General features: G+C 37.2%; 1 protein-coding gene and 1 long non-coding RNA gene across 9 annotated transcripts in view; one reads left to right on the plus strand and one right to left on the minus strand.

The window, feature by feature from the left end:
* MACROD2 (mono-ADP ribosylhydrolase 2) overlaps positions 1 to 13,202 on the plus strand; it is a 2,057,682-nt gene that overhangs the window by 1,940,165 nt on the left and 104,315 nt on the right. For all 8 annotated transcript variants that reach the window (NM_001351661.2, NM_001351663.2, NM_080676.6 and 5 more), the window contains one exon: positions 1,796 to 1,864. In NM_001351661.2, the coding sequence (NP_001338590.1) occupies positions 1,796 to 1,864 (69 nt within the window). The remainder of the gene's footprint in view (positions 1 to 1,795; positions 1,865 to 13,202) is intronic.
* The window catches only part of LOC613266 (uncharacterized), a 93,550-nt gene that overhangs the window by 43,348 nt on the left and 37,000 nt on the right, over positions 1 to 13,202 (minus strand). The gene's annotated exons all lie outside the window — the stretch shown is intronic.

Consider the following 13,202-nt stretch of genomic DNA (forward strand, 5'->3'; position numbering starts at 1 on the left):
ACAAATACATATCAAGGGTTCATTGTGTCATAGGCACCATTCCAGGCACTGAAGAATAAACCAACAACCAATAAAAACAACATCTCTGTTTCTTTGAAATTTATATTCTGGTGGGGGTTCCAAACAATAAACAAATAAAAATGATAACATCAATAGTGATAAATGCTTTGCTGAGAAATAAGGAAACATAGAAGGAATGCCCAGAAGGCAAATTTCCATTGTCTGGGTTTGGGACGGACTCTCTGAGGAAGTGATAGTTAAAATGAGATCTAAATGATGAGATAGTGACAGAGAATTCTGTTCCAAAGGACACCTGACCTGCAAGTAATAGTACATGCATCATGGACAAAAGATAGGCTAGAAAATAAGTGATTTGTGATTTGCTTCCAAATATGTGTTAGTTTTCATGCATATATGAGTTATCTTTAGTTCCCCGACCCTGCTACTACATAAAAAACTATGAATATGTATGTGTGCATATGTACTATATATATAGTTTATATGTATAAATATACCATATATGTATAAATATACTATATATAAACTATAGAGTCCATGTAGTATATATATGCATATGTAATGTGTGTGTATATATATACACACATATGTAATGTGTGTGTGTATATATATAGTTTTTCATGTAGTATCGGAATATGTATATATAACTATGTACGTAACTATATATCGCTATTATATATAAGTATATAGCTATACATATTTTCTGCTACTATATGAAAAACTATATATATACTATATATGTATATGTATACTATATATACTCTATAATTTATATATAGTATATTTATACATATGAACTATATATATACTCTATATATACACATGTGCACACTATAAATACTTTTTTCTATAGTAACAGGGTCATAGAACTAAAGATAACTCATATATGCATGAAAACTGACACACATTTGGAATCAAATCACAAATCACATATTTTCTAGCCCATCTTTTGTCCATAATGTGTATATGTGTGTATATATATATATATATTCATTTTCCAGTTATCAGGTATTAAACATTGCAAATGATTTTAGTAATCCTGCCTGTCTAGATTTACTGTTTGAATGGGAGGGAGTAGGCTAGTTAGCTGTTATCGTGGAGGCCAAACATGACTAGAGTCACTAGGGGCTGATGACACTGAGGAGAGAAAGGTCTACTCTAATGTAGTTCATTGTTGCTGTGAGGGGAACAGAGAGTTCCATGTCCTTAGTCCCCATTTTCCCATTCTGTTCTTGGGTGACATGAAAGTTCCTGGTGGCTTCTGGTGACCTGTGCCGAATGCTCCCCTTCTTCCAGGCCTCTGTGCTGACAGCCATCAGAGCTGCTCCCTGCAGTTTGACAGCCTGGCATAATGGAGCAGAAGTGCTGTGCTAAGAAAAAAACAAACTTTAGAAACATGCACATAAAAGCACTTTGTAGGAACTTGCAAGGATATACTTTCTTTCACAATCTGTTATCAAGAAAAATAATATACCATCCTTTGAGGGATGAGGAAGAAACAAAATGCCAAAGGATACTACTAGCAACAAGTGGCATTCTTCACTAAGAAATAGATTGTAGCCCATTGGTCTCTGACTTAACTGAAGGTTCCTGTTTCACTAATTATAAAAGAGAGTCCCAAACCACTAGCCCCTTCAAAGAGCATTCAGTGTATTCAAGCATGCGGCAGGCTCATGCTTTCTTTGGTGGAGAGTGGAGGGAGGTGCAGGGCAGGAAAGCCACAGCTGGACTTCCGGAAGGATGAACTCTGAGGCAGTGTTTCTTTTCTGCTTTATAGATGGTGTCAACACTGTCACTGTGCCCGGCCCTGCTTCAGAAGAGGCAGTTGAAGACTGTAAAGATGAAGGTATGAGGCTACTAACTATATCTAATAATTGCAGACTCTTAAAAGAGACTGTTTGGGCTTGTTTACATGGAAAAATGAAGCAGCAAGTCAAATATAACTAGGTTTTCTTAAGTGTCTCTGTTTCCAATATAATTGACTACACCACCTACTCTCTTTTATTGCATACCTAGCCTGTATAGAAAATTTATATATATATATATATATGTGTGTATATATGTATATATAACATTTACATTTGTTCCTTTGGAAAATAACTGTTTATGAAATGAGAGAATGATCAGAGAAATTATGTTTAGAGATGTTTATTTAAAACACCAGAATTAATCAGTTCTGCTCTTTACAGCCACTCATCAGGAAAAGGTTTGAAAGAGTGGCATTTGAGGACCACCAACCAGGGAGCACCATTTTTCAAAAAAGAAATGTTTGAAAGGCATCCTTAGAAATGAATCTTTGGCAAGAGCATCATTCTCCATTCTGTCAGAAGTTACTATGAGAAAATGTTTCTGACCCAAGTATTTCCAGAAAAAGTAAAAAAAAAAAAACAATTTACTTTTCTAGGAGACAGTTTGAGGAAGGAAGAAGTAGGGAGACATTGATCTGGGGATGCTACAATTAAAAAAATATATATCTAAAGGAAAACAAAATAGTGCTTTTTCTTCTCTCTCTCCTGGTTCATTGGCAAGTCCCCAGATGGAAAAGTAATATAGGCTTACCTTGTTTTCTTGCCCTTCATTTTACTGTGCTTTGAAAATATTACATTTTTTACAAATTGAAGTTTTGTGGGAACCCTGCATCAAGCAAGTCTGTCGGCACCATCTTTCCAACAGCATGTGCTCATTTCATGTCCCTGTGTCACACTTTGATAATTCTCACAATATTTCAAACCTTTTTACTATTATTCTGTCTGTAATGGTGATCAGTGATCAGTGATCTTTGGTGTTACTATTATAATTGTTTTGGGGTGCTATGTACTGTGCCCATATAAGATAGTGGACTTATTTAGTAAATGTGGTTCTGACTACTCCACTGACCCACTATTCCCCTGTCTGTCCCCTTTTCTCGGGCCTCCCTATCCCTAAAACACAACAATATTGAAATTAGGCCAATTAATAGACCTACAATGGCCTCTATGTGTTCATGTGATAGGAAGAGTTGCATACTAAATCACACTTTAAATCAAAAGCTAGCTATGTTTAAGCTTAATGAGGAAGGTAGGTATGTTGAAATCTGAGATAGGCTGAAATCTAGGCCTCTTGTGCCTAGTTGTGAATGCAAAGGAAATGTTCTTGAAGGAAATTAAAAGTGCTACTCCAGTGGACACATGAATGATAAGAAACTGAAACAGCCTTATTGCTGATAAGGAGAAAGTTTTAATGGTCTGGACAGAAGATCAAACCAGCCATAACATTCCCTTAAGCCAGAGCCTAGTCCAGAGCAAGGTACTAGCCCTCTTCAATTCTACTAATGCTGAGAGAAGTGAGAAAGCTGCAAAAGGAAAGTTGGACGTTAGCAGAGGCTGATTCATGAGGTTTAAGGAAACAAGCTGTTTCCATTACATTAATGTGCAAGGTGAAGCAGCAAGTACTGATGTAAAAGCTGCAGCAAGTTATCAAGAAGATCTAGCTAAAATCACTGATCAAGGTGGCTACACTAAGCAACAGATTTTCAATGTAGACAAAACAGCCTTCTATTGGATGATGAGGCCATTTAGCATTTTCATAGCTAGAGAGGAGAAGTCAATGCCTGGCTTCAAAGGACAGGCTGGCTCTCTTGTTAGGGGCTAATGCAGCTGGCAACTTTAAGTTGAAGACAATGCTCATTTACTATTCCAAGAATCCTAGTGCTCTTAACAATTAGGCGAAGTCTACCCCACCTGTGCTCTGTAAATGGCACAACAAAGTCTGTATTATAGCATGTCTCTTTATAGCATTGTTTACTGAATATTTTAAGCCCACTGTTGAGACCTACTGCTCAAAAAAAATGATTCAAAATATTACTGCATATTGACAATGCACCTGGTCTTCCGAGAGTTCCGACAAAGATGTACAAGGAACATAATGTTGTTTTCATGCCTGCTAACACATCTAGTGTGCAGCCAATGTATCAGGGAGTAATTTTGATTTTCAAGTCTTTCTATTTAAGAAATATATTTTCTAAGACTGTAACTGCCATAGATAGTGATGTCATCCTGTAATGAAGCTGGGCAAAATAAACTGAAAATATGGAAAGGGTTTACTATTCTAGATGACATTAAGAATATTCCTGAGAGAAGGCCAAAATATCAACGTTAACAAGGGTTTGAAAGAAGGTGATTCCAACCCTCATGGATGACTGTGAGTGGTTCAAGACTTCACTGGAGGAAGTAACTAAAGATGTGGTAGAAATGTCAAGAGAACTAGAAGTGGAGACTGAAGATGTAACTGAACTGTAATCTCATGAGGAACTTGAACAAATGAGAAGTTGCATCTTATTTATTAAGAAAAAAAAGTGGTTTCTTGAGATGGAATCTGCTCCTGGTGAAGACAGCAGGTTTGAGAGTATTGAGTTCAATTTTTTGTTTGTTTTTGAGATGGAGTTTCACTCTTGTTGCCCAGGCTGGAGTGCAATGGTGCGATCTTGGCTCACTGCAACCTCCGCCTCCCAGGTGTAAGCAATTCTGTCTCAGCCTCCCAGGTAGCTCAGATTACATGCATGCACCACCACACCTGGCTCTTCTTTTTTTTTTTTTTTAAGTAGAGACGGGGTTTCACCATGTTATTCAGGCTGGTTGCGAAATCCTGACCTCAGGTGATCCACCCGCCTTGGCCTCCCAAAGTGCTGGGATTACAGGCAAGCACCACTGCGCCTGGCCTGAGTTCAATTTTAAGATAATTTCTACTGTGGGTAAAATGCCATCAAACAGCATTGCATGCCACAGAGAAATCTTCTGTGAAAGGAAGAGACAATTATTGTGGCAAACTTCATCACTGTCTTATTTTAATAAATTACCACAGCTACCTCAACCTTGAGCAACCAAGTGGTGGCCGTCAACATTGAATGGCCAGTAGTGGCTATCAACATTGAGGCAAGACCCTAACCAGGAGAAAGATTACAAGTTGCTGAAGGCTCAGATGATGATTAGCATATTTTAGTGAAAAAGTATTTTTCAGTTAGAGTACATTAACTGTTTTTTAAGACATAGTGTATCTAAAAATATAACTGATGTCAAATACCCACATAGGCTCTGATAGGAAACCCTAGGTCATCTTAGAGAGACAAATAAATGTGATCAAATGTGATCAGAGCGAAAAGACAGAAAGTGGTGTTCACCTTAAGCAAAAATTTTGGACATACCAATCATTTAGTTTGTGATAAAAATTTTAAAGTGTCATGAAGTTGAGTGGCAGAGTTTAAGAAACATGAAAGAGGGATAATTTAATTTGAATGTGACCATGTTTCAGGCTGGGATTTTTCCTGTTGAGTTGTTTAATTTGGAGATATCACACCTTCACAGAAGCACACTGTTTGTGATGTTTCTTGATGCTTTTAGGAACTCACACCATTAATTGCTTATGCCAGGATCCATGTTTTGGAATACTTTTAGGATTTTTTTTAACATAAAACTTTTAATGATGGTAACTCCATGAAGGAGTTCTGTCATGTATCACAAATGCAGTTCCTATGTAAGACTAAATGTGAAGTTTTATGAGTATTACTGAAATAAGCCATTAATATCTATTAACCTATTTACTTAGGGAAAATAGAAATGTTTTGAAATCCACACTAGTATGCAAGCTTCTTTCAATTAAAAACAGAATGCCTAGGGTATGATTTTTGCCTTTTTCTTCTGAAATAGCATGTATAGAAAACCACTGTTTTTAATTGATTATCAGTTCAGAGCTTAGACCAGCTTAGAACAAGTGTCTAATGCTTATGGAACTATCATCTTGACTGATAGATACCTAGCTTAGAAAAAAAAAATCCGTTGAAATCCTTCAAGATTGAGGTCAAGATAAGGTTAAAAGGCAGTCATATGCGTGGAGGATTCATTTCAAACATTCTCCATTATTAGCTTTCATGCAGAAATATCTCTTCTCAGTGACATCTGGGCTATTTTAGAGCTCTGCAGTTATAAGATTGCTTATAGAAATGCTCATTACACTCTCCAATTTAAGTGGCAGAACATTTTTGCTGATCAAATGTCCTGAAGAAGCCCTTGCTCTCTTGAGTTCGTTTTCAGACTTTGATCCTGACCAAGCATCTTCTTGGGCTTTAGAATCACTGATATTATGGACAGGTCTTTTTTTCTCTTTCTAATAAAACTCCCAAGGATTTTGAGGCTCATTCAGTTATTTCCAGCTTTGCTTGTTAGTGGGCTGGCTTTACATTTGTTACAACCTTGGTTTCCACAGGAAATTAGCATCTTCTAGGGTGAAAGTATTGAAAACAAACAAATAAAAAATAAGATGGCTAATGTCACTTTGGAGACCAGATATTTAAAAAATTCGAACAGTCATGGGAAAGTTGAAGAATTTCAAAAGGAAGTATTGTAGTGCAGGTGTCCTCTTTGCCAGCAGTTTTGTTTTAATGTTCTAGACATATTTTCCACTGGGAACCAGGAACCCATGTTTGCTGCCTGCTTACCCCCATGTACTTGCTAACTGTGCCAGCTGCCAACAGAAGGAGATGCAACTGACTGGCTCATGGATCAAGAGCTAGATTGTGAGCTACACACTGATGACACCTGTTCCCAATGAGCCATTAAAGCCATAGGGTGGGCAGGAGTTGAGCTGGGAGCATGAGATACTAGCAGGAAGAATGCTGATGAATAATTCATCCGGAATGCATGCCAAAGATTTGGCAACCAGGATTGAATTGAAATTAACTCCAAGGTAAAGCTGGCCTGGGAAAAGATTTGTGGGTTGGTAGGCATTTTGAGGTTATTTGTGAAATAGGATGTGTACTTATCTATTGAGGACTTCTTTCTCTACTGGTTAAAAATACTCTGTTGATTTAATGGTAGTTTGCACTTTAAATCCTTAAAAACAAATTTAGGAGTACAAGTATTAAGGCTATTTAAGTTAACAAATATACAAGCAATCACATTAAATGGGCATATAAACACAGGAATGTCAAGTACTCCAGATGAAACTTTTACAAAGTTATTATTATTACTATTTAAGATATAGTCAACCTCTTTAAGATAAATAATATGCTCTGTTCTAGTTTTTTCAACACTTCCAATAGCTCATTTTCACCTAGAGCCAAGGCTAAGGCAGCTTTCTGGGGGAAAATAAAGTGCTGTTTAAACTCGTCTTAATCCACCTGCCTTATTATTTAATCAGTACCTAATTTAAATTTGAAGGTCAACTAGACCAAATCATATGCTCATTAATATTAAAAACAAAATCAATTAATACTCAGGTGCATACCCAGGCTTGTATTCCTTTGGAACACCATGTAAGTCATACAATTGCTGTTTTTGGTATTTATGAAATGGGATGTCACCTGGCAAAGGATTTATTAACTCTTGATCTAGTTTCAGACCTCTTAGAAGTCAAAATTGCTGTAGGAAAAGGGGAAAGCTAGAGCCAAGAGTCAGCCTTGCCAAAGTGAACAAAAGAGAAAGACTACATACAAGGAAGAGAATTCAGGAGTGTGCAAGAGATGAGAGCACAAATTATTCCAACCACTGAGCACTGTAGGCTTGGCCAGTGGTGTGGACTCAAAATTGCTCTGGAAAACGGCATTGTTTCTGTTCTTTGCCTGAACTGTTGAGGAGAAACAAAACCAAGGCCACCAATGAATTCCTCTCGAGACTCTCCAGGCTAATTTTTCTTTGTCCTATTCCCATTCTTGGTGTTCACCATCCCCCACTAAGCGTCCTCACCCCATCACTCATCAGAGTGAGGACAAGGCTGTCCTGTGCCCTGGATCTGCATTGGTAGAGTGTCTGAATATGCTTGAGTATCTCTGAGTTATCCCTCTTGGATATTAGGAGCCTTAAGTGTAGAATGAAAGTGGCTGTCCTCTGCTAGTATACTGAAGGGGAAAGAACTAAGATACATTGAGTGTCTCCTGTACACAATGCTTTACATTTATAACAATGTAGTCTTCATTTCTCAAAAGGGTCACCTGAGACTCAGAGAAGGAGAGAGGAAAAGGGTGTGTGTGTGGGAAGTGAGGATAAGAAAATGATTTTATTATGGTTAACCGCCGTACCTAATACCTACATAAGCTTATACAATCCCTTTAAAAGGTAGTATTTATCATATTTTTAATATAAAAATTATTTTTGCTTATAAGAATAATATATCTTTATTGTAAAATATTTTTTAATGTGAAAAATATACAATAAAAGCATATAGTCATTTTCCCTTTAAGGATTAAACTGTAGGAAAATAAAAGTCTTTATTCTATTGCTTCATTTAACAATAATACTGTGAATATTTGCCCATGTCTTTAGAAGTTCCTCAAAGGCATGGATTTTATTGGTGTCATAATATTTTATCATCTGGTTATCCCACAATTTACATAGCCAGTGCCCTAATGTTAGATAACTTAGTTATTTATAGTTTTCTTCCTATTACAAATAATAGAAAAATGCAGTGCCTACATTTTGGATAAATCTTTGTGCATATCTATGATCAGTTCCTCAGGACAAATTCCTGGATTTTATTGATTTACGAGGGAAAAGGTTAAAACATTTGTATTACTTACATATATTTTCTTATTTTAAAAGTAATGTGTGTTTATTACACAAAAAAAATAAGCAAAAGAAGGAAGGAAAAATATCACTCATAACCCTGGTGCCCAGAAATAAGCATATGTAATATACTGATATATAAACTCTCAATGTTTTTCTAGGCAACCTCATACATATATGGAAGGGGTTTTTTTAGGGTATTCTGCAATGCATAAAAGTTTGAACCTGTCTTTCAAATATAACAGTACATTGTAAAATTCTTCCAACATCTTTTGATAGTCTATCATCATTTAATTGTGTATTCCAGTAAATAAATGTTTATATTCTTATCCAGTCTCAATTTTGAATTGTTTCTGTGGTTTCAGTTTTAAATTCCATACTGACCAGAAACATCCTTTTAACTTTGTAAAATGATCATGATCATTTCTGTAAGAAAATTCTAGTAAATGTGAATGCATGCAAATTTGTGTGTTTTCTACAATGAATAGTTTTTTAATTTTTTTGGTTGTTTAATTAGTATATTTATTGTATAAAATTCAAATAATGGAAGAGAATAAAAAATATTACATATAATCACATCACCCAGAGACAACTACCATTCTCATTTTGGAGACTATCTATCATGCATCTCTTTCTGAATATATGAACATACACAGCTTTATGTGAAACGTATGATTGTAATGCAATTTTTCTCTTTTTGTTGCTTATGTACTCCTCACCATTCAATCACTCAGAGAGTAAAATACATGGACTAAGAGTCTAATCTCTTCTTCCAACTACTTGGGCCCAGATTCCAACCCTACCCTGACTAAGCTGTGTGATCTTTCGCAAATTATTTAGTCTTTCTACTCCTCAACTTGAGTTTCCTCATACATAAAATAAGAACACTAATAGCACCTACCTAAAAAATATTTAGCATTAAAATCATTCAGTCCATTTAAACATTTTCAAGGTGTTCCTGGTACACAGTAGGAGGCTCAATTTTTTTAGTCATTATTAAATATATATATGTTTATTTTACAAATATTGTATTATATTCCACATACCTTGCTAAATCTTGCTCTGCTACAGGCAGCCAAACTTGGTGGAAGTCTCTGCCAGTCAGTTTGCAAAGATCTAATTAATCCATTTTAAAGCTCACATGATAATCCATAGTTTGGCTGTACCATAATTTATTCAACCATTCTCCTATGATAAACAAGCACTTTTTTTCCACTCTATTGCCACATAGACTATGCTGCAATAGACATCTTTGCACACATATCCTTATATGCTGATGCTTTTATTTGTATGGAAAGATTCCAGAAATGTGAGTTCTGCTTTCAGCAGTATGTGTTTTTAATAGATGTTGCCAAATTGCTTTCCCAATAGGCTATAGCAATTCATATTTCTATCAGCAACTGTTATTTTTGTTCTTTCTGATTTTTGACAGTTCAATGGATGTAAAGCAATCTCTCATTATTACTTTTAAAAAGTCATCAGTGTTATTATCCCAATTTTGCAGATAACTGAGGCTCAGAAAGTTTGAATAGCTGGATCAGTTTCCCAAAAGCTAGAACCAGAATTTGGAAGCCAAATCTGTCTGAACCCAAAGCCCATGCATTTTCTATCCACCATGCTGCCTCCCGTATCATGAATTTGGAGCAGAGGACTTTCTTTGCCTGAGTGGGTAGGATGCAGGTGTGTCTAGAGAAGGCAGAGGGTGTCATGGGAACCCTGCAACCTGTGCAAGGTGAGCAGGGATTGGAACCACGGCAACAGGGAGGGCAGTTTGGAGCTAGCTGCTTGGTCCACCTCATGACCTTGACCCTAACCTAGGAACTACAATGAAATGAGTACACAGAAACCTCCAGTCATGCCCCTGACTAGATGTAAAACCCAAAGCACTTTGTATTATATTCCTGGTCCTTTTGTGCTTCCTTAGACCCTGCACGTGCCTTACGCTATAGCCCAACTCAGTTATTTGTCCTTTCCCAAATGCCACTGGTCTAAAGCATTCTGCCCTCACGCTGTCACATCCATTTTGTTCTTTATTCTGTATATGAAAATCCTGATCATTTTTCAGAGTCACTCTCAATATCTTTCTTGCCCTAACTAGAACCTTTACTCCATCCTTCCCTCCCTCCCATCCTTCCTTCTTCCATCACAAATTATCTGAGCAAACATTACATTGACAGAAATTATAACAGATAATACAGGTGAGGGGGGTGGTGCATGCATATTTTCACCTTTCTTGATTTCTGTTCTCTTCATTACAATTCACCCCATAGAGTAGTAACTATCCTGCTTCTCATAAATTCGTTTATAAACCTTAAATGTTATCATGAACTATATTGTATCAATATTAGTTATATACTTATCTAACTCAGTAGAATGTAGACCTCTTAAGAGTAGGTACAAAATCTCATTCATTTTTATGTTCTCCACAAAGCTCAATGCAGGGGGCCAGCCCCTCCACACCTGTGGGTATTTCTTGTCAGGTGGGATGAGAGACTGAGAAAACAAATAAGACACAGAGACAAAGTATAGAGAAAGAAAAGTGGGCCCAGGGGACCAGCACTCAGCACACGGAGGACCTGCACAGGCACCGGTCTCTGAGTTCCCTCAGTATTTATTAATTACTATTTCCACCATCTCAGCAAGAGGAATGCGGCAGGAGAGCAGGGTGATAGTGGGGAGAAGGTCAGCAAGAAAACACGTGAGCAAAGAAATCTGTGTCACAAATAAGTTTAAGGGAAGGTACTATGCCTGGATGTGCACATAGGCCAGATTTATGCTTTTCTCTACCCAAACATCTCAGTGGAGTAAAAAATAATAAAGCAGCATTGCTGCCAACGTGTCTCGACTCCCGCCACAGGGCGGTTTTTCTCCTATCTCAGAATTGAACAAATGTACAATCGGGTTTTATACCGAGACATTCAGTTCCCAGGGGCAGGCAGGAGATAGAGGCCTTCCTCAATCTCAACTGCAAGAGGCTTTCCTCTTTTACTAATCCTCCTCAGCACAGACCCTTCACAGGTGTCGGGCTGGGGGATGGTCAGGTCTTTCCCATCCCACAAGGCCATACTTCAGACTATCACATGGGGAAAAACCTTGGACAATACCCAGCTTTCCAGGGCAGAGGTCCCTGCGGCTTTCCACAGTGCATTGTGCCCCTGGTTTATTGAGACTGGAGAATGGCAATGACTTTTACCAAGCATACAGCCTGTAAACATTATGTTAACAAGGCATATTCTGCACATCCCTAGATCCCTTAAACCTTGATTCCATACAACACATGTTTCTGTGAGCTCAAGGTTGGGGCAAAGTTACAGATTAACAGCATCCCAGGGCAAAGCAGTTGTTCAGGGTACAGGTCAAAATGGAGTTTCTTATGTCTTCCCTTTCTACATAGACACAGTAACAGTCTGATCGCTCTTTCTTTTCCCTACACTCAACACAGTGGCTTGCACATAGTAGGTCCTCATATTTGTTTAATCAAAAGGAATAAAATGGTGTGTACATAACAGTTTCTATAATGCTGTTGATGATTTAACAGTTTCTTGGAGAATTTAATTGAGAGCCTTGCATAAAATTAGAGACTTCACATGACTCTAGAAAGTATGAATGGGAAATTATCTGGAATTTTTTCCACAAGAATTAACTAGAGAATTGGAGATAGAACCTATCATAGAAAATGGGCCACTTTTTGCTGGTGCATCCAATGTTGATGACATCGAAGGCACCCCTCCTGAGGAAATCTCAACTGCATGACCCCTACTATGCCCCAATTCAGCAGGAAGCAGTTAGAGCGGTCATTGGCCAACCTCCCCAACAGCACTTGGGTTTTCCTGTTGAGAGGGGGGACTGAGAGACAGGACTAGCTGGATTTCCTAGGCCGACTAAGAATCCCTAAGCCTAGCTGGGAAGGTGACTGCATCCACCTTTAAGCATGGGGCTTGCAACTTAGCTCACACCCAACCAGTGAGGTAGTAAAGAGAGCTTACTAAAATGCTAATTAGGCTAAAACAGGAGGTAAAGAAATAGACAATCATCTATCACCTGAGAGCACAGTGGGAGGGACAATGATCGGCATATAAACCCAGGCATTCGAGCCAGCAACAGCAACCCCCTTTGGGAGCTCTGTTTTCACTCTATTAAATCTTGCAACTGCAAAAAAAAAAAAAAAAAAAAAAAAAAAAAAGGAAAAAGAAAAGAAAAGAAAATGGGCCACTTTTAATTCTAATATTATAGCCACTTTCCCAAATTTGTTTTTTACTATGATTAAGATTCCTAATAAAAGAAATTCCCTTTCAGAATTCTCTTGTTTCAGAAGTAAATTTTCCCAAAACTTTCACACTGCAGAAATATAAAAGTACATTCAAGCCCAAGACTTTTCCTATTTGTTCACTTTCAGACTTTGATATTCTTCCCCTCTAAGAGAATAAAATAAACTTCTTTTAAGGAAGTACATGTTTATCTACTATTTAATATAGTTTAAAATATTCCTAAGTGGCAATTGGAAGGTAAGTGGTAGTTCCTTTCCAAATACACTTTAATATGCATATATTACTTTTCCTTACTAATTAAGTATGGCTATAATAATATATTTGTAACAGTCAATTCCATTACATGCTCTCTTGGGACATATTTCTAAAGATCTTGTGAATAAGA

The sequence above is a fragment of the Homo sapiens genome, chromosome 20 (genome assembly GCF_000001405.40).
Source record: "Homo sapiens chromosome 20, GRCh38.p14 Primary Assembly".
NCBI classification, from domain to species: domain Eukaryota; kingdom Metazoa; phylum Chordata; class Mammalia; order Primates; family Hominidae; genus Homo; species Homo sapiens.